The following is a 20,253-nucleotide window of genomic DNA, read 5'->3' on the forward strand; positions in this document are numbered from 1 at the left end:
ATCCATTTAGACATCCAAGCTTGCAGCCTAGGAGTCATGCTTGGTTCTTTCTTTTTCTCACCTCACATAAATCAGTGAAGAAGCCTTGAGAGTTCTCTCTAGACCTCTTTGCTGTGTCTGACACATCTTCCCTCCATTCTAAGTGCTGCTGTCTTAGGCCACCATCCTCCTCCACAGGGATTACTTCAGCTGTTCCCCTGTCTTCCTGACTTTTGTTCCCCTCCAATCTGTTCTCCACACTGTCACCACAATTTTTTTTTAATGCTAATTTTATTATGGTACTGCTTGCTTAAAATTCCTTCAGTGGTTTCCCTTCATCTTTATGGTAAAGTGTACATTCCTTGATTCTTATTTTAAAAAGGTCCTTCCTAAGACCCTGGCTGTGCCTCTGCTGTGTCATTTTCCCTTCACACCATGTTCTCCAGCCAGGTAGAGTTACTTGCACTTCTCTGCAGATGGTGCCATCCAACCTTTTGAGTCTTTGTACGTTCTGTGCCTCCTGCCCGGAATGCCTTTTGCCCAAATAACTCCACATCTTGGGGTTCAGCACAGGTACCACCTTTTTCAGGAATTATTTCCCCTGACACTGCTTCTCCCCCTGCTGTTTGGCCCATTATCTCCTCTGTGTGTCCCCACGGCATTCAAGTAAAAGCCCTATCATATAACTTATCACATGACATTGTGATTGAGTGTTGAATTTCTAGGTGTCCTTCTAGGGGCCCTATATTTGGATGAAGATACCTGGTTTCTCTGGTCTTGAATCTGGGCCAGCCATATTCTTGTGTACTTCTTGAGTGCTCTGTCAGGCCTAGTAGATCATTCCTTGGAACTCTACTGAAAATCAGCCTACTAGTCAGCAATGGTGCTGTTGCTCTGGGCACAACTGCTGTATCTAGAAAATATCTGCAGTTGTTATCTGAGAGCAAAATCTCAGAAAAACCTAAGGATGAGAAGGGATGGAACACTTTGAACAGTTGTTCATCAGTGATGTTGGCATTTCAAAGATTCACAGTAGAAGACTCACTGTGCCTCTTAGGAACCTGGGAAAAGCCCCTTGGAGGCTACTTGGTGTACAGGTAGCCCCCCTTTATGCTGCTTGCCAGCACAAGTGATTGTTAGCCCAGGTAACAAAGTAAAAGTTTGGAAACGAATAACAGCAGCCACTTATAGGACATACTTTGTGGTAGCCACGCTGTTGGTTGTGCACATGGAGCTGAGATACTCCTCAGGGTCACATCGGAGCCAATCTTGTGATACCTGTTACCCCAGCTGTTATCCTGGTCACAATGAAAGTGTATTCATTCTGGGAGGTCAGCCAACCCTGTCCTACGCACAGCACCTACTACTCATGATACAAATGTGGTATTAGGTCATCACGCTTTGGAAGCTGTGTCCCACCCTCCACCCATCCTGTCCACAGAAAAAAATGTGATTATAAACATGTCCCTTTATTTCTTCCTGTCTGCTTGTTTCTCTGTTCATGTTGTTTATCCACTTCATTTCTTCATTTAAGCAGTGTTTGTTGAGCACTTAGTATGAGTAATAAAACCGTATTCATGGTGTGCTTTACCAGGTACATTGAAACAATATTCCTTCGTCCTCACATCAGTCCTGGAGTGGAAGAAATCTAGGATTGTGTGACTTGTTTAAGGTCACAAAGCTAATAAATAACCTGTATCACTATTTGAACACTCTGGTCTTCTGGCTCCAGATTTATTGCTTTTTCACTTGTAACATGGCTATTTCCCAAGGCACACACTAGATTTTATCATGAATGAAAGACACAATCTTTGTGAGGCATAATATATGAAAGCATGTAGCATACTTCCTGGCCTATAGTTTATACTTCCTACTCTGTTAAGAAGGTATATAATAGAATTGAAGTATTCTTTGATGAACTTGAAATATTTTGAAATATTTTTTATATTCTTGTCCCAATTTTATATGTAACTTGCACAAACTAATCTCCCCAAAAGTAATTTACAAATTTCTGACTAAATTCTGTATTCTACTTCTGTGGTGGTATAAAAAATTTTTTCTTAAATCAATTTCATTGAGGCAGATTTGCATTCAGTAAAATTCAGGTGTTAGATAGACAGTGTGATGAGTTTGGCAGTTTGCAAACACCTGTAACCACTACTCCCTTCAAGACACAGATCATTTCCATCCTCCTAGAAATATCTTTGTGTCCCTTTATAGTCGCCTCCACTCAGCTCACCTGCTGTCCCCGCTGCAACCACTTTTCTACTTTTATCACCATGCTTAGCTTTGCCAGTATTAGAACATTATCTAATCACATAGTGTGAACTCTTGGGTGCTTTGTTTTTGGTTTGTTTTGCCCTCACTAAAAATAAGAGATAAGAGATCTTAAGGAGTTTGCCTAGAAGTATTTCACTGTGTAAGTATACTGAGTTGCTAAAATTGTTGGCATAATGTTGTTTATAATATGTTCTTCCATTCTGATATCTGTGGGATCTGTAGTTATATCTCTTTCTTTATTCTTGATATTGGTCATTTTTGTTTCCTTTCCTGTTGTTGTTTTTGCTTTTCTTTCCTCCTCTGCTTGTTCATGCTAGGGCTTTGCCAATTTTATTAATCTTTTCAGAGAGCCAAGTTTTTATTTTGTTGTTTTTTTTTCATTACTTTTCAGTGAAAGTTATTTTCTAATTTCCCTTGTGATCTCTTTTGTTATTTAGAGTGCTATTTACAATGAGATATTTACTTTCCAAATATTTTGTGCTTTTATGGATATCCTATTGTTGCTTTATAATTTAAGATTTTGTTATCCTCAGAGAGTATCCATTGTAAGAATCTTTTGTCTTTTGGAATTAACAGTTATTTTGTAGCTCATTTTATGGTTGTATTTAGTTATATGCTTCAAGTGCACTTAAAAGAATGTGTATTTCAGATGTTAGAGCAAATGTCAGATCGAATTGGTTGATAATGTTTTTCAGATCTAGTTTTGTTTTCTTTTTGGTCTACTGGTTCTGTTTATTACTAAGAGAGTGTTAAAGTCTCCAAACATGATTGTGGATTTGTCTGGTTATCCCTTTCGTCTGTCAGTTTTTTCATCATGTATTTTGGAGCTCTCTTATGTATATATACCTTTAGGATTGTTATGTTTACCTGTTGAAGTAGCACATTTGTCATTATGAAACGTCCCTTTTTATCTCTGATACTAGTCCTTGTCTGAATGTCTACTAATGATGTTCATCTGGCCACACCAGCTTTCTTGTGTTTAATACTTGCATGGTATATATTTTTTTCCATCTTTTTATTTTCAACCCATCTGTGGCTATATATTTAAAATGTATCTCTTGTAGGCATTTCTTTTCTAATCTATTATGACAGTTTCTACTTTTTAGAGTGTTTTATTCATTTACATTTCATGTAATTGATATAGTAGGAGTTAAGTCTGTCATCTTGCAAACTTTTTCCTGTTTGTTTGAATCTATTTTTGGTTCCTCTTTTCTTGCAACCTTTTGGGTTCATTAGCTATCTTGTAACATTTTGTATCTTCTGTTGGCTTTTTATCTACAGACTCTTTGCACAAAATTTTTAAGTGGTTGCTCTAACAATGTGCATCCTTAATTTTTCACAGTCTACTTGGAATTAATGTTGTTTCACTATACATGTCACAAATGGAAGAACCTTACAACAGTTTAATTTACATCCTCATTGGTTCTTTGAGTTATTTTAATGTTCTTTTCTATATATATTACAAACCTCTTACTACAATGATACGAATTTTTAACAGTCACTTGTCTTTTGAGGACATTAACAAAGAAAAAACTAAGATAAGCTAGTATTTTATGTTTTCCCTAAATGTATCACTTTAGTCTTTATTTCTTCCTATAAATATGAGTTTCCATCTTGTATAATTCAGTCTGGGAAACTTCCCTGGGTATTTTTTGCAGTACAGGTCTGCTGATGATGAGTTCTTTCTGGTTTTATTCGTCTGAAAATGTCTTTATTTCACCCCCATGTTCTAAGGATAGTTTGCTGAATATAGAGTTCTGGGTTGAGCATTTTCTTGTTTCAGCCTTTAAATAAGTCATTCCATTTCTTGGAATCCCATTTCTTCTTGTTTCCTTGTATGTAATATCTTATCTTACTCTAGCTATGGTCAATCAATATTTTCCTTTTGTCTTTTTTGTTTTCCCAGTAATTTGACCACAACCGACCTAAGTATGGTTTTCTTTGTATTTATCCTGAACTTTTCTGAGCTGCTTGGATTTGGAGGTTGATGTTTTCTAACAGTTTAGGACGTTTTCAAAACCATATATATGTACTTTTTTTTTTTTTTTTTTTTTTTTGAGACATAGTCTGGCTCTGTCACCCAGGCTGGAGTGCAATGGCGTGATCTCAGCTCACTGCAACCTCCACCTCCCAGGTTCAAGTGATTCTCCTGCCTCAGCCTCCTGAGTAGCTGGGGTTACAGGTGTACACTACCACGCCTGGCTAATTTTTGTATTTTTAGTAGAGACAGGGTTTCACCATATTGGCCGGGTTGGTCTGAAACTCCTGACCTCAGGTGATCCGCCTACCTTGACCTCCCAAAGTGCTGGGATTACAGATGTAACCCACTGTGCCCAGCCTAAAACCATATTTTTAAATGCATCTTCTACCCCATTCTATTGGTCTTTCCTTCTCGGACCCCAAGTACATGAGTGTTAGACTATTTGATATTATCCTATAGGTTACTGAGGTCCTGTTTGTTTTATTTTTAATCTTCTTTTCTCCTCTGTTCTCCTGATTGGTTACATGGATCTTTATTCAAGTTCTTTTGTCACAGGATCTTTAGGGTGTCGCTTTGCCAGTCAGAAACCTCCGTGCACTTCTGCTTGAGTTTTGCTCCTGGTTGCTGGACTTGTTCCACCCACTTGGCCCGGCAGGCTGCACTTGGCTCACACTGCTGGCCTGGGTCGCACAGCTGCCAAGGGCAAGCCAGGCGCGGAGTGGCAAGGGATGTGTGAGTGAGTGCACGCGGGGTCCAGCCACTGTGCACAGCCAGGCACATCAGCTGCGGCAGGGTGGGCAGCTCCAGGTGCAGACTCCATGCGAGGCTGTGGCTGGACCAGACGTACCACAAGCAGCTTCTGCTGTGGGCACCAGCATCTGGACAAGGGGAACACATGGTGCCCAAAAACTTGGAGACACCAGGAACCACAGAGCCCCAAAGAGGGTGTTACAGCATGTCACAGGCCTAGCTGGGGGAGCCCTGAGTTCTGGGCTCCCAGAAGGGCCGCAGCTCCTTCTTCCTTCTCGTTACCTGCAATGTGGTGAGTCGGGGGCATGTTTTAGCCCTGTTTGTGTTACAGCTCTTTCAGTCCCGCCATTTGGTGGGTCCTGAGTTCTTGTCCTGTGTCCAGGAAGAAAGAAGTACTTGGACAACTGGAGGGTGAGCAAGGCACAGAGGAGCTTCATTAAGCAACAGAACAGCTGTCAGGAGACCCAAAGCAAGTAGCTCCTTTCTGCAGGCAGGTCATCCCAACAAGTGTCCAGCTCTCAGTAGAGAGGAGACCTGTAGTGGGTAGCTCCTTTTTGCAGGCAGGTCGTCCCTGTGAGTGTGTGAGTCTGACTGAGTCTGAGGTTTTTATATGCTCAGAATGAAGGAAGTGCATGCTGATTGGTCCATGGGCGGCCATGGATGGGCCTGGAAAAAGCACCATCGGACTGCCTGAATGGTCATCAATGAAGTTCTCACTCCAGGCTGTGGCCTTCACTCAGACCTGGCAGCCTGGTTCCCAGGCTTCAGGCCATCCCTGGCATGAAGGTGGGGCTTCACCAGGGACCCATCCCTTCCTGCCTAGGAACCTGTCTGCCTCCCACCACCATCATCATGTTGTCCACGGCACCCAGGCTATTCACACTGAGGGGCGCCTGCAGACCCACACCAAGCTGCCCTCAGCCCCTTGGCCTTTCTCCTATGCTTGTTGTCGCCCAAAGTCCAGAGGGGGCCAAGGCGGTGGGAGGCTGGCGTGTCAGCGCTGCCCTGAATGTGTGCACACTCAGCCAGATTGCGGCAGCATCCAGGCTCAGCCACAGCTTTGCTCCGCAGTGGAGAAGGCTCCAGGAGTAGGGAGAGGCCAGGGAGTGGGACCAGGTACTTCTGAGCCTGCAGGGGTAGAGGGCTTCCCAGGCTTCTAAGAGCACAGGAATGCCTGGGTCTGGAGATGTGGCTTGTTGGATGCAGCTGCCCCTGGGAGCACAGGGCTCCTGCCCTACCAACATGGTAGAGGGTGGAGCTCCCACCTGTTCCCAGACCTCACCAGCTCCACGGAGTGTGCAGCCCTAGCCACGCCTCCCCCGCTGCAACTGGCATCCCCACGGTGGCTGCTCCAGACAGGCCACTGCTGCCATCACTTTGATCCTTATTTTCTATTTCAAATTGGCTTTTAAGCCTATCCAGTGAAATGTATGCTGCTGTACATTTTTAGTTTAGAATTTCCATTTGATTCTTTTTTATAATTTTTATTTCTCTACTGACATGTCCCCACTTTTTCACTGGTTGAGATCATATTTTCCTTTAAGTACTTGAGTATATTTGTAATAGCTGATTTAAAGCCTTATGTGCTAATTTGTACAGCTGGGTTATTTCAAGGGTCTGTATTTTGAGCTTTTAATTTTTTAGTGCCTGAGTTTTATTGTTATTTATAGCAGGAGGGCGAGTCTGGTGACATTCTGTTATGTCTGTTATTCTTCTCTGTTTTTGTTTTCCCATTAATTTAGAATCAGAATCTCAAAGGGAAACCATTTGTCATTACATTCATAACAATTTATTTTATAATTTTTGTAGCCATTTAGATTATGGTCAAAAAGAAATTCTTTGGAGACCAGGTAGAGATATCTAACTATGTTAGTCTGGTCTTACACATCATTGTAAGTAAAATTGTGTTAAACAACTTTGGTCAACTAAATGTTAGTAGTCTAAACTGTAAGGATTATTGGTTTAATCTTGTTTAGAAATCTTTCAAAATGTTTTAGAGCAAGGAACACAGTCAGAAGACCAGAACTCTTGTTCTGTCTTGCATATTTTGTGACCTTGAACAAATAAATTAATCTGGTTATCAATTCAAATGCAGCAAGGTATGTGAGTGCATCATAAACTGTAAATAAAGTACTTTGCAAGTTATTGAAAAATATTAGTATACCTTCCTTCTCCATCCTACGTCAATAAGAAAGGAAACATAATGAAATCTTTTTTTTTCTATACTCTTTCAAGGCATTATTTAGAGCATAACCCTTCAAAACCATTTGGTGTAGCTGTAGGGGAGACAAATGACATTGAGCTGGATTTCTTTCTGTACTGATTCCAAAGCTTACTATATTAGCAGAATTGTTCAATGAATCTTATATTTGAACTTACTTTGCTAACACTTGCCTCTGTATTCAAAAAGAAAGGTACAAAAGAATGATTAATTGAGAATCACAATTAGATGTGGTCTAGTTAATGATATGTTTGTGGTACGCTACTTTCCATGTTCTTTTTTGTTTTGTTTTGTTTTTAGTTTTATTTTTAACTTTTAAGTTCAGGGGTACAAGTACAGGTTTGTTACATAGGTGAACTTGTGTCATGGGGTTTTGTTGTACAGATTATTTCCTTACCCAGATGTTAATCTGAGTATCCATTTGTCGTTTTTTCTGATCCTCTTCCTCCTTCCACCCTCCAAACTCCAAAAGACCCCAGTGTCTGTTATTCTCCTTGATGTGTCTATGTGTTGTCATCATTTAGCTCCCACTTATAAGTGAGAGCATTTGGTATTTGGTTTTCTGTTCCCGTGTTAGTTTGCTAAGGATAATGGCCTCCAGCTCCATCCATGTCCCTGCAAAGGATATGATCTCATTCTTTTTTTATGGCTGGATAGTAGTCCATGGTGCATATATATACACCACATTTTATTTATCCAGTCTATCATTGATGGACATTTACATTGATTCCATGTCTTTGCTGTTGTGAGTATTGCTGCGATGAACATATGCATACATGTGTCTTTACAATAGAATGATTTATATCCCTTTGGGTGTATACACAGTAATGGGATTCCTGGGTCGAAAGGTATTTCTGTCTTTAGATCTTTGAGGAATCGCCATATTGTTTTCCATGATGGCTGAACTAATTTACACTCCCACCAACAGTGTAAAATAGGTCCTTTTTCTCCACAACCTCGCCAGCATTTGTTATTTTTTGACTTCTTAATTTTATCCATTCTGATTGGTGTGAGATGGTATCTCATTGTGGTTTTGATTTGCGTTTCTCTAATAATCAGTGATGTTGAACTTTTTCTCATGATTGTTGGCCACATGTATGTCTTCTTTTGAAAAGTGCCTGTTCATATCCTTTGCCCACTTTTTAATGGGGTTGTTTGCTTTTTCTTGTAAATTTGTTTAAGTTCCTTAGAGATGCTGGAAGTTAGACCTTTTTTGGATGCATAGTTTGCAAAAATGTTCTCCCATTCTGTAGGTTGTCTGTTTATTCTGTTGATAGTTTCTTTTTTAGCCATGTTTATGTAACAGTTCTTTTAAATTTTTTATTTTGGATGCCATAGCAGCAACATCAGCTCTTCAGACATGTATCCAAATAAAAATCTTTTAACTGACAGTCACTTAATCAGCAGCTGTAATTATCCAGAACCAAGGCAGGAACCAGAAACAAATAAAAGCATTTTAAATAGATGAAAAATATATAATCGAATCTATCATACAACAACAATGTCATAATAGCTCAAGTTTTTTGAGCATTTACTATGAGTTGGACAGTGTTTCGATGATCTATGCACATTTACATTTAATCTTCACAGCAACCCTATGAAGTAGGTACTCTTACATGATACAATTAGAATATTAGTCAGAAAGATCTTTTTGCTTTTGTTCTATATGGTCATTATTGATGTTTGGAAACATTCCAGGTACTTCTGTCTTTGTTTTACCAGTTCCTCTCTCTGTTATAGCTTTGTCCCCACTCCTTGGCCATTTTAAAAGATTTAAATAAAATTTCTGTACTCTGTCAAACCTCCTATTGATTATGCAAAGGCAGAATTAATTGATCATGCTGTTATACTCTTAGGACAGTTGCAAATACCAGTAGCATTTGTAACATAGTATCAGCATCAACTGTTTTACCTGTTAGATTTTTTTTTTTTTTCAAAACTGTGCTCTTCCCTGGGCTAAGGACCACACCTTCCTTAACTTTATTCCTCTGCGATTACTATCAAACCTGGCATATAGTAGAGCCTAAGAATATATTTCCATATACACCAATGAATGAGTGAAAGAGAGAAAAAAGATAGAGATAAGGAAAAGTGAAAAGAAGCAAAAAGAAATTTGAAAATTTAGATGCCTCTTTCCAGATGTGCCAAAATCTTGTAGAATTTGAACATGTTATTTTAGAGGGCAACTCTTATTTTAGTTGAACAAAAAGAGAGACAATTTATATTTTAACAAGGATATTGTATTTCTAAAGCAATGTAAGGTATGACAAGGATATTAATGATCTGTAAGAATGTGGAGATGGATCTGGAGGCAAGGAAGAACCAGGGAGAACTTTTTGCTTTGGTTTTGGGGTTGAAGAAAAATTGATCTTCCATGTACATTAGTGGAAATGTGGTAAGGGAAGTACAAATACAGGAGGAACTAAAGTAGGAGCAAACAATTTGAAGGGAGTATAATCAGAGAAGAAAAAAGAGAGCTATACTTTTTTCCTTGAACAATCCAAGAACAAGATGATAGGACATAAGATAGGGAAACATACTTACAGAAAAGAGAAGTGTAAAGCAGGTCAATCTACTGCTAAGGGATTTCAGCCCAGCAAATGCACACATTAAGAATAATGCCAGAATGTAGAAAAGTGGCTTTATCTTTCAGTAGCGGTGGACTGTTCGCACACACTCAACAGTTAACAAGCTCCGCTCTGAAGTTATTCTAGACCTTATCTTTGGAAATAATGCAGGCATGATAAATAAGGTTGGAGTAGAAAAGCACTAAAGATGCAATCATAATGTCATCAGGTTTGAATTGCCGATGAAGATCTGTGGGAAGAGTACTAACACAAAAATATGGGGCTTGAGAAAAGCAGACCTTGAAGGAATACAAAATGAGTTTTGAACTTGGCTGGAATTTTGCAACGTGTAGAAAATGAAACATGAAAAAGGTAGAATCCAGGGGAGGGAACATTCAAAATTCAACCCAATAAGATCAAAGTAATACAGAAACAATGAGAGGAAGCGGAGAAATAAGAGAATATAGGGGAAGCCATCAAAAAATAAAATAAAGGGGAAAAGTAGTGGGAAACGCTATGACTGAATGAAACCAAAACACTAAAAAAATGTGGTGATTAATAGGAAATTAGTATCTAAGATTTTAAAAAATATATTTTTGAAAATTTAAATATGCATCAAATAGTAAAGTAAATGACAATGTCGATTTATTTTTCTAAAGATTGTCACAAGTTACATGGAATCCCTCCTCTTAGGCTGCAAGTCTTTGTATACTCAAGGAGTATTGATCCAGATGGCACATCTAGACTCCTGTGGTGTTGTGGCCTTTTTTTTTTTTTTTAAAAAAAATAAGATCTTGCCTTTCATAGGAAAAAGCATTTAATTTATGAAAAGGTATGCTACAACTGAAACTTCATCACTGGGGAAAGCATAAGACCATAGTTTGTATTGGGTTAAGAGATAAAAGATTTAAAGTGTACATTTATTTACAGTTCCTTAAACTAGCCCTGGAAATTAGACTACTTATAGGGTGAAAACTAATTAACTTGCTGTCTCATCCATGGAATAGATTTAAATTCAGGTCCCCAAGCAAAAATTTTATAAAGTTTACCCCCACCTGGCCCCTCGCTATCCTTTGTTGAGTGGAAAACACAGAGCTCTGTAGAGGAAAGAAGTTATCGTATTTTCTGGCTTCCCAGCAATGCAGGAACTACTGATGGTGTATTTTGGTACATGCATATCCTTTTAAAGAAAAGGTTGAGTATATGACAGACATTTAAACATAAAATGTTTTCTTTGTTTCTTCATGGTTGGGCTTCTGTGAAGAAAGAAAAAGAGAGAAAAGAAAAAGCTTAGTTTTTTATGTGGCATATTTTCTGGTCTGTGTAAAATTTTATTGTCTGAAATTGTGAAAAATGTAGCCCAACATATTCCAAAATCACAGAACTGCTTCTTGCAGACCTAACTTGCCTAGAAAAATTCACAGGTGCAAAGACTGGTACATAGTAAATGCCTAGTACATGCTTGCTGATAGATTCAGGTATCACACATATGAGTACAGTGGCATCAATGATATATCTGTAATCAACTTGTATAGAAACCAATTTTTAAATAAAGCTGTATTTCCCCTTTAAACATTAAGGGATTTTATTTTCTAAGTGAAATTCTGGCACATGACATAGAGGCTAGACCTGTGTTCATGTGTCTGAGATTCTGTTATTCCTTTATCTGTAATTCCTAGCATATTAACTCTTGGTTATTTATTCCTTAATATCTGTGCCACGTGGTTACTGATCTATTAGAAAATTCTTTTTTTTGAGACGGAGTCTCGTTCTGTCGCCCAGGCTGGAGTGCAGTGGCGCGATCTCTGCTCACTGCAAGCTCTGCCTCCCGGGTTCACGCCATTCTCCTGCCTCAGCCTCCTGAATAGCTGGGACTACAGGCGCCTGCAACCACGCCTGGCTAATTTTTTGTATTTTTAGTAGAGACGGGGTTTCACCATGTTAGCCAGCATGGTCTCGATCTCCTGACCTCGCGATCCACCCACCTCGGCCTCCCAAAGTGCTGGGATTACAGGCGTGAGCCACCGCGCCTGGCCAGAAAATTCTTAAAATGGTGGGAAATTGGAATCCTTGAATGGATCCCTCAGTATATTGTACCAGGTAGATGCTTGATTATGCATATTTATTGAATGAATAAATGAAAAAAGAGTAATAAATCATGTGAAGTTGGTAGTTTATAAATTCTTTCTGCAGTAATCCCAAGAGGGAGGGAGGGAGGAGAGGTATCTTATTATCATCTTTTAGTAGATGAAAACCTGAAGCTCAGAAGTTAAGTGAATAGACCAAGGCCACACACTGAGTAAGTGGCAGAATTTTCTGAAGGACTTTTGACTCTAAACTCCATGCTTTTATTAATGCACAACCCTGCTCTCTATCCTGCAATTGATCTGTATATCAGATAATATTTATAAGCTGTGTTTAACTTTTGGAGGCACAGATGTTTCTAGAGGCCCTGAATGAGATTGTATGTTGCACTTTACTTTTCTGTTGAGGGCAAGAAAAGGAAGACATAATGGCAAGGTGTTTCTATAGAGAGGCAAGGTGTTTGCAGAAATTTATAGGAGTTGGTGAACATGAAATCAATATAAAAGAGAAAAATGACAGCAAGCCCGGGGCCACCTGCCTATGATTGGCCCACAGTAACTCCTTGTTGAAAAGAAAAGGTAGGGTGCCCAGAGCTAAAAGATCTCTTCTCAGGCTGCTTCCACTGTTATTTGTGTTTAGCTACTCTGTTGATGTCCCTGTAGTGATGCACTTAGAAAATTAACCAGGGTTGTGATACAACTGCCACTTGAGTTCTGTACTTTTCTTCCAGACTCTCTTACCTAGGGTGCCCAGAGAACAGCTAGGGAGTGACAAGAAAAGCAGATCTTTCTGTTTTCCACCTGATGGAGGAGTAGGAGAGATGTTAAAGCTGAAGGCAGTCTGAAAATGAAGGAATAGAGTAGGGAGGATGGAGGGGTATGGGAGAATGGAAGTGGTATCAGAATATTTAGAGGGAAGTCACAGCACAGGATGAGATAAATTGAACCCTTCTCATGAAGAGTGGTTGGAAAGAAAGTGGACATCTAATTAGGAGGAGGAAAATCCTTGGGGTTGTAATATTATGTTCAAATACTTGGAAGATTTTCCTGATAAAGGAAGATTTTTCTCTCTTAACTCAAAGTAGTAGGACTAGGACCAACTTTTAGACATTGTGGGAAGATGGCTTTTGAGCTAGTTATTATAGGAAGAATTTCGTCAGTGTCTGAATCACCTGGAAATTGGGTGCGCCACATCAGGAGGTAGGAGACGTTCGAGGCACAGGCTGAGTGAGCCTGATGGAGCTACACTAAGACAGACTCAGCAAACATTAGAGATGCCTTCTCTTTCAGAGTTAATGTGATTCTATGCAGAAGAGAAAATTATTTCATATGCAGACACAGACACACACACAGAGCATGTGTGTGTGTGTGTGTGTGTGTGTGTGTGTGTGTAATTTAAGAGTAGATTACAATCCAGTATACACAGGGCCCCAAAATATAGAAAACATGGGAAAAGAGGAGTGTATTAGTTTCTTGGGCTCGCTGTAACAGAGTACCGCAAATTAGATGGCCTTAAGCAACAGAAATGTGTTCTTAAGGTTCTGGAGGCCAGAAGCCCGCAGTCAGGGTGTCAGCAGGCTTATGCTCCCTCTGAAACCTGTAGGCAAGCCCTTCTTGCTTATTCTGGCTTCTGGTGTTTGCCAGCAATGCTTGACATACCTTGGCTTCACTCCAGTCTCTGCCTCTGTCACTAGATGGCTGTCTTCCCTCTGTGTGTCTCTGTCTGTGTCTCTTCTCCTCTTCTTATAAGGAAACCAGTAATGTAATGGCCCACCTTACTCAGTATGACCTTATCTTAACTAATGACATCTTCAGTGGCCCTCTTTCCAAATAAGGTCTCTTCCTGAGGTATTGAGGGGTGAGATTTTGACATCTCTTTTTTGGGGGAAACAATTCAAAGCAAAGAGAAATAGGATTCTTGCTTTATGGTCTTATTATTTTCTGTCAAGAAGACCTGAAGAAGTTAGAGAAAAATATTTTGACTCAAACCCAGCAAACTTGAATTCAGGTACAAAAGATTGATTTTTCCCTCTCAGCAATGTTGAATGGTTTTGTGGATAGGGGAAATCTAGTAGATATTAAATATTTTTATCTGCAAAAAGCATTTGGTAAGGTTCTCAATGGGAGATTAATGACTAAAATAAAGAATGAGGCATTAGGAGATAAATTTGCTTATGAGCAAGAGACAGATACTAACAGTAGAAGGAAATACTTTTTAGATTGGAAAGGAGTGACATATAGCACAAGCCAGGAATCAGTTTTGGGACCTATGGGTTTTTCACTTTATTTTTATTGGACTTTGTAATAAAAATACAGATCTTCAAACAGTCCAAGACAGAGTGAGTAATACTACAAGCATCAGTAATCAAAAGTTATTCTCTATCATAAACTAAATGACTGATAATAAATACTGACACAAGACTACACAATGTACCATAATATTATAAAATGGAGCAGGCAATTCTCTTGTGTTCTCTTTTCCTCCGCATGGGTGAATATTTCTTTATTTGCTGTTTAAAAAAAATATTTGCAGGCTTCTAGGATTACTTTATAAGCCAAATGAATGAAAAAAATGATTTTTTTTTTAATTTGGAAAGATATGTTAACAGGGAAAAATTGGTTGAAGCAAGACAAAGGTTACATTGCCATCACTAGAATAAAGAAATGAAGGGCCCTGCGTGTTACATTGCTCAGCAAGGTGTTCGGTAAAAATACTTGAGTTAGGGGGCGTTCTTGAAATCATCAGCTTATTCTGCAGTCATGACTTTAACGGAATCGTATGCAAAAGAGTCATTGTTAGAATGAGGAAACTACATATCTAAAGACAGGGAAATATAGCATGGAACTTTTTTCTCTTTTTAAATTTTAACGTGGCTCTAAAAAAATCCATAAAATCCATTGATTGTATATGTAACGTTTAGTCTGCCCAGCAGCTAGTAAATTATGTAGAGAACATACTTTTCAAATTGAACTTTTGCCTGTCACCCCTTTTGTCAAAAATCACTAAAAGGTGTTTACAAATTCATTGCCTTTTCCCCATTATTTGTACATTGTCAGATATAAGCCAAGAGAAACAGAGCAAATAAACATTCGAAAGTGAACTCAGAGAAATTGTAAATGCTTAGAAAACTATAAAGATTATAAAGTGTAAAGAAGCTCCATTAACCTCAAACCTCTCATTTTAAAGGTGAGAAAACCAAGATCCAGAAAGGTCAAATTCATAAGAAATTTGCCCGAGGACAAATAACTAAAGTCAAAACACAGAGTCTAGAACAAGGTTCTCAACCTGGGCTGCACATTAGAGTTTCCTGGCAAGCTTCTTTAATGAACTGTTGCAATGATCTTCCTACCAGAGATTGTGATTTCAGGGGTCATGAACGGAGCCAAGGAAATTCATACTTTGAGAAACATGCATTTTAAAACTTCTCCAGTTGCTTCTGCTGTGTGGGCAGGAATGAGAACCTCTGATCTAGGATCTAGCTTTCCTAATGTTAACACAGGAAGTCTTTCCTTTATTTATTTATTTATTTATTTAGAGACGGAGTCTAGCTGTGTCGCCCAGGCTAGAGTGCAATGGCCGGATCTTGGCTCACGGCAACCTCCGCCTTCCGGGTTCAAGCAGTTCTCCCGCCTCAGCCTCCCGAGTAGCTGAGATTACAGGCATCCACCACCATGCCCGGCTAATTTTCTATTTTTAGTAGAGATGGGGTTTCTTCATATTGGCCAGGCTGGTCTCGAACTCCTGACCTCAGGTGATCCGCCTGCCTCAGCCTCCCAATGTGCTGGAATTACAGGTGTGAGCCACCACGCCTGGCCTAACACAGGAAGTCTTTCAACTCACATTTGTAGTTCAGAGATGGCTTAAAGAGCTTCAGATTCTGAGGTAGGAAGCACCTTTAGCATAGGCAGTCCACAGTTAACAAACCAATTGTTCTAGTAGTTATTTTCATTGCAATGTGCTTATTTGGACCGCTGAACTTACATCCCCAAAGAAACAAGATTGTACATTGTTGTTTGGTGTCTAGGCCAGCCCCGAGATTAGCTTACAGAATAACTGAAATGTAGCCTGTGTCAGTTGCACTATAGGTCCTAACCAACGCATATACAGTGTTTTTCTAAGAGCAAGAATTTATATTTTAAATTTAGGTCTCTCAGGACATTTGTAATTCTTCTACTGTTCTGATAGCACTATCAAGATTTCACCTCCTTTCATCTTCAACATATTAGATTTAGGATTTGAATAGGGAGTTCCCCAATTCCAAACTGTGTCGGGGAATGGGAGGAAATGAGGGATGGAGGGTTGGTGAGGGCTGGAGGGAAGACTGAGGCACTGTGGGAGCGAGGAGGAGGCCAATCAAGAACAGAAGGGCCAGGGTTCTCTGCCATCAGTACCTGGGGATATTTCTTTCCCTCGAATGGGTTCATCCAAATATTTGATGAAGGCATAATGTTTATCAGACACTATTCTAGGCATTGGAGGAGGATTAGAAGAGAGAATGGAGAGAGTAAAGTAAGCATGACATAGTTCCTGGCCTTAAAAAAGTGACATTATCTCTTAGTGTGGTGAAGAAGTGAAAAATAGGGTTTATGATTTGTCATTTTGGGAAAGCAGGTGATGTGGGGACACGTTTTCCAAGCACTTCAGGAACACAGCTGACCTTCTCTGGAGGAGTCATAGAAGAATTCACAAAGCAAGTGGCATTTGTATAGAAGTTGTTAGGTGCAGATACAGAGAAAGGCATTTTGGGCTGAGAGTCACTGGCTCTCATAGAGAGATGTGAAAGAACATGTCATGGTGAGAAAGCTGGTCTGGTTGGGCTGGAGAGTAAATGGAAAGTGGCAGAAGAGGTGGGGATGAAGCTAGTAAATAGCTTGGAGTTTAAGGCCATGCTAAGGAATTGAAGTTTCGTGTTTGGGGGTACAGGAAATTTTTAGCCTGAGGAATGAATGATTGACTGAGTAACTCATTCATTCATTCATTTATTCAGTCGTTAGGATTTATTGGAAGTTTGCTGTATGTCAGACACTGGATGACAAAGATTATTATGACACCCTCAATCCAGATGCTTTGTAGAAGCAGAGCAGTGATCAGATTTTCATTTTAGGGACATAACCTTTGGGCAATGTGTTTAGGCTGGAGACAGGAAGGCCATTAGGAAGCTGTGATAACACTTCAGCTGACCATCACGAGCTCCTGAACTGAGATGCAATGCAGGCAATGCAGTGGGTATGGAGCAGAGTAGATGCCTGTGGGACATATCGGGGGGCAAATTTGATTGTGCTTGGTGAGTGATTGCATGCTGAGCAGGGAAGGGAAGGGCAGATCCAACTCCTAATGGTGCCATTTGTCAGGATAGGGAATTTAAGAGGACGAAGTCTTTTTCCCAGCCCAGGAACCAGCGCCTCTGTTTCCATTTATAAGACCTGCACCCGTTCATTCTATTATTGGTTTATTGCAGAACATAGCGCAGTCTAACCGCTTTTCCTCTACTTTTCTGTTCTTGCAACAAGGAAAAACATAGTAACGTTTTTAAGGAAATCTGATGAAGGCTATGAAGGTGAAAGAAAGGCTATTTTTTGGTTTAGAAAACATTAGCAAGATAACACATGTAAATCAAAATGCAGAACTAATACATTTGTTTTAGTGATTCAGGAGGAAAAGGAAATTCATGCTTTTACTTGAATTATCAGGATGATGCTTTGCTTTACCAGTGACCCAAGAATGAGTGTTATAGTATGCTTTTTGTAAAAAATTTATCACCAACTGGGGCATTGAAAGTAAGTTTCCTATGTTACGCGGCTGCTAAATTGGCCAGGGACAACGGAGGAGGAACTGAATAGTCAATGAAATTGGAAAGAATTTAGATCATCCATGTCACACAAAGCCAGCAAAGGCTGTTTGTAGAACGTTAGCTGCTATCACACTGGCTTGATATTAACATTCTAGTGAATAATTAAAATATTCCTGTTTATTTTTTAATAAAAAGAAAAAGCATATATGTTACCTCAGAGTCTGTAATGATACCTATAGTTGCATCCATCAGATGTTGAGTTTTTTTTTACTAGGATTGTAGAGTAGATAACTTAGACAATTAAAAAGCAGGTTTTGTTCTGCCTTTTTCTGCATTCTTGTTTTACAGTATTCAGTATTACAATGCCATTCAAAAATATAAAATAAAAATCCTTAAAAGTGCTCTGAGACATTTTCATTATTGTCAGTATTTTCTAAATTGAGTGGTTATTAAATACATTTTTCTGCTGGAGTTATTTTTGAAGTACATCTATCATTTTCATTTTCTGTCCATAAACGCATACCCAGGCAGAGCTGATACTCTATTTCTTCCTGCTAAAATTCGGGCTCCCATTAGAGGATGGGTCAGTAGGTGCAGCAAACCACCACGGCACACGTACACCTATGTAACAAACCTGCACATTCTGCACATGTTTATCCTATTTTTTTGTTTGTTTGTTTGTTTTTAGAAGAAATAAAAAAAACCATTCAGGCTCCCATGAGGTGATCAGGTACTTCTTTATAATTGAATATACTTTTCAGCTAAACCCACCCCTTTCCACTGGCTGTTTTCTTTGGTTGTTCCTTCAGGGCTAGAGTGGAAAAGTTCAGTGTTTTATTCGAGACAATTGACTCAGAGAAAAGAACAACTCACACAGAGACCAGAAAGAGATTCGTGCTCAGTAACAAAGAGAGAGTAATACAGACTTGTGGAGTCATGGTCTTAGGTCTGTGTGACGTGTTTGATGCTCTGCAAGGTGGTCAGTTTCTGGGGTGACTAGACACCACCAATTTCTGGAGGATCTGCCTGAGTTTATATCCTTTAGATAGTAGTAACAGGCTTAGTAGAGTAGTTGGAATAAAATTACAACTGAGGAAGGACAAGAATAAATGGTATCAGAGGAGAAATTTTCCCAGGAGGGCGAGGTCATGAGTTAGGAGAACACTAAGACCGAATGCTCTGTCTCCTGCTTCCCTGAGTCAGAAGTGGCAGGCACACTAGACGAAGCAGCATTTTGCTGGAGACTTTGTTGAGAATTCAGGTGCTTTGGGAGCTTAGAGAGGAAACAAACCCCGGTATGGACTTTTCAGACAAAATACTGCTTTCTTTGCCTAATCAAGTAAAGTTAGGATAATGATTACCAGGCACTTTGTAACAGCAAGGTTATTCTTTTTTTTTATTATTATTATGCTTTAAGTTTTAGGGTACATGTGCACAATGTGCAGGTTAGTTACATATGTATACATGTGCCATGTTGGTGTGCTGCACCCATTAACTCGTCATTTAACATTAGGTATATCTTCTAATGCTATCCCTCCCCCCTCCCCCTTCCCCACAACAGCCCTGGTGTGTGATGTTCCCCTTCCTATGTCCATGTGTTCTCATTGTTCAATTCCCACCTATGAGTGAGAACATGTGAACAGCAAGGTTATTCTTAACGCTAAAGTTAAGGTTATTCTAAACTCTAAATTGTTTGCTAGAGAAATTACAAACATAGAAAGAAATACCACATAGGAGCCAACGTATATAACCTTTAGTTAAATGTGGCTCTTATGTGTGACCAGGAACTAGCAAGAACTGTGGCAGAGAAATTAAGAATACCCTCGCTCCTCACAGCTGCCCTACAGGATTTTTCCTTTTTCTCTCCTTTCTTTTTTTAAATTTAAATTTTTATTTATTAAAATTGTATATATTTGTAACATACAATGTGACATTTTGATAGACATTGTGAAATAATTTTATAGTCACGTACTCATCTCCTCATGTGGTTACCATTTTTTTGTGTATGTGTGGTAAGAACCACACAAATCCTCTCAGCAAATTCTAAGTGTATAATACAACATTACTAATTAGAGTCCCATGCTGTACATCCTCTTCTCTTATTTCCTTAGCTAGTTGCCACCTAGGACTCTTTACCTCTCCTGAACCTCCACTTTGTCTTAGACAGGGCAGTAGTGCTGTTCTCTTCTCTTCCCCTAAAAATGTTGATCTCTTAGACCCAGTGCCAGTTTCTTGGCTATGTCCTCCTTCCTCATGTCATGTCATTTTTAAAATCTCCTCCCCTGCCCCAGCTTTGTGCTGAAATACCCTGGAGAGTTGATTTTGGATTCATTCTGAAATATAAATGACCTAACTGTAGTCTTTGAAATATTTGAGACCCACTCCTTATGCTCCTAACCCCTTATCACCACAAACTGGGTGCCTTACACAACAGAAATTTATCTGAGAGTTCTGAGGGTTAGAAGTCTGAGATAAGGTGTGAGCAGGGTTAGTTCCTTCTGAGGGCTATGAGAAAGAATCTGTTTTGTGGCTCTCCCCTTACTTGCAGGGGATTGTTGCCTATCTTTGGTGTTTCTTGGCTTGTAGAAGCCTCACCCTG

At 39.4% G+C, this 20,253-nt stretch overlaps 1 protein-coding gene across 3 annotated transcripts in view; it reads left to right on the plus strand.

The window, feature by feature from the left end:
• Positions 1–20,253, plus strand: part of DERA (deoxyribose-phosphate aldolase) — a 126,050-nt gene that overhangs the window by 71,607 nt on the left and 34,190 nt on the right. The gene's annotated exons all lie outside the window — the stretch shown is intronic.

This window comes from Homo sapiens, chromosome 12, assembly GCF_000001405.40.
Source record: "Homo sapiens chromosome 12, GRCh38.p14 Primary Assembly".
Lineage (NCBI taxonomy): Eukaryota > Metazoa > Chordata > Mammalia > Primates > Hominidae > Homo > Homo sapiens.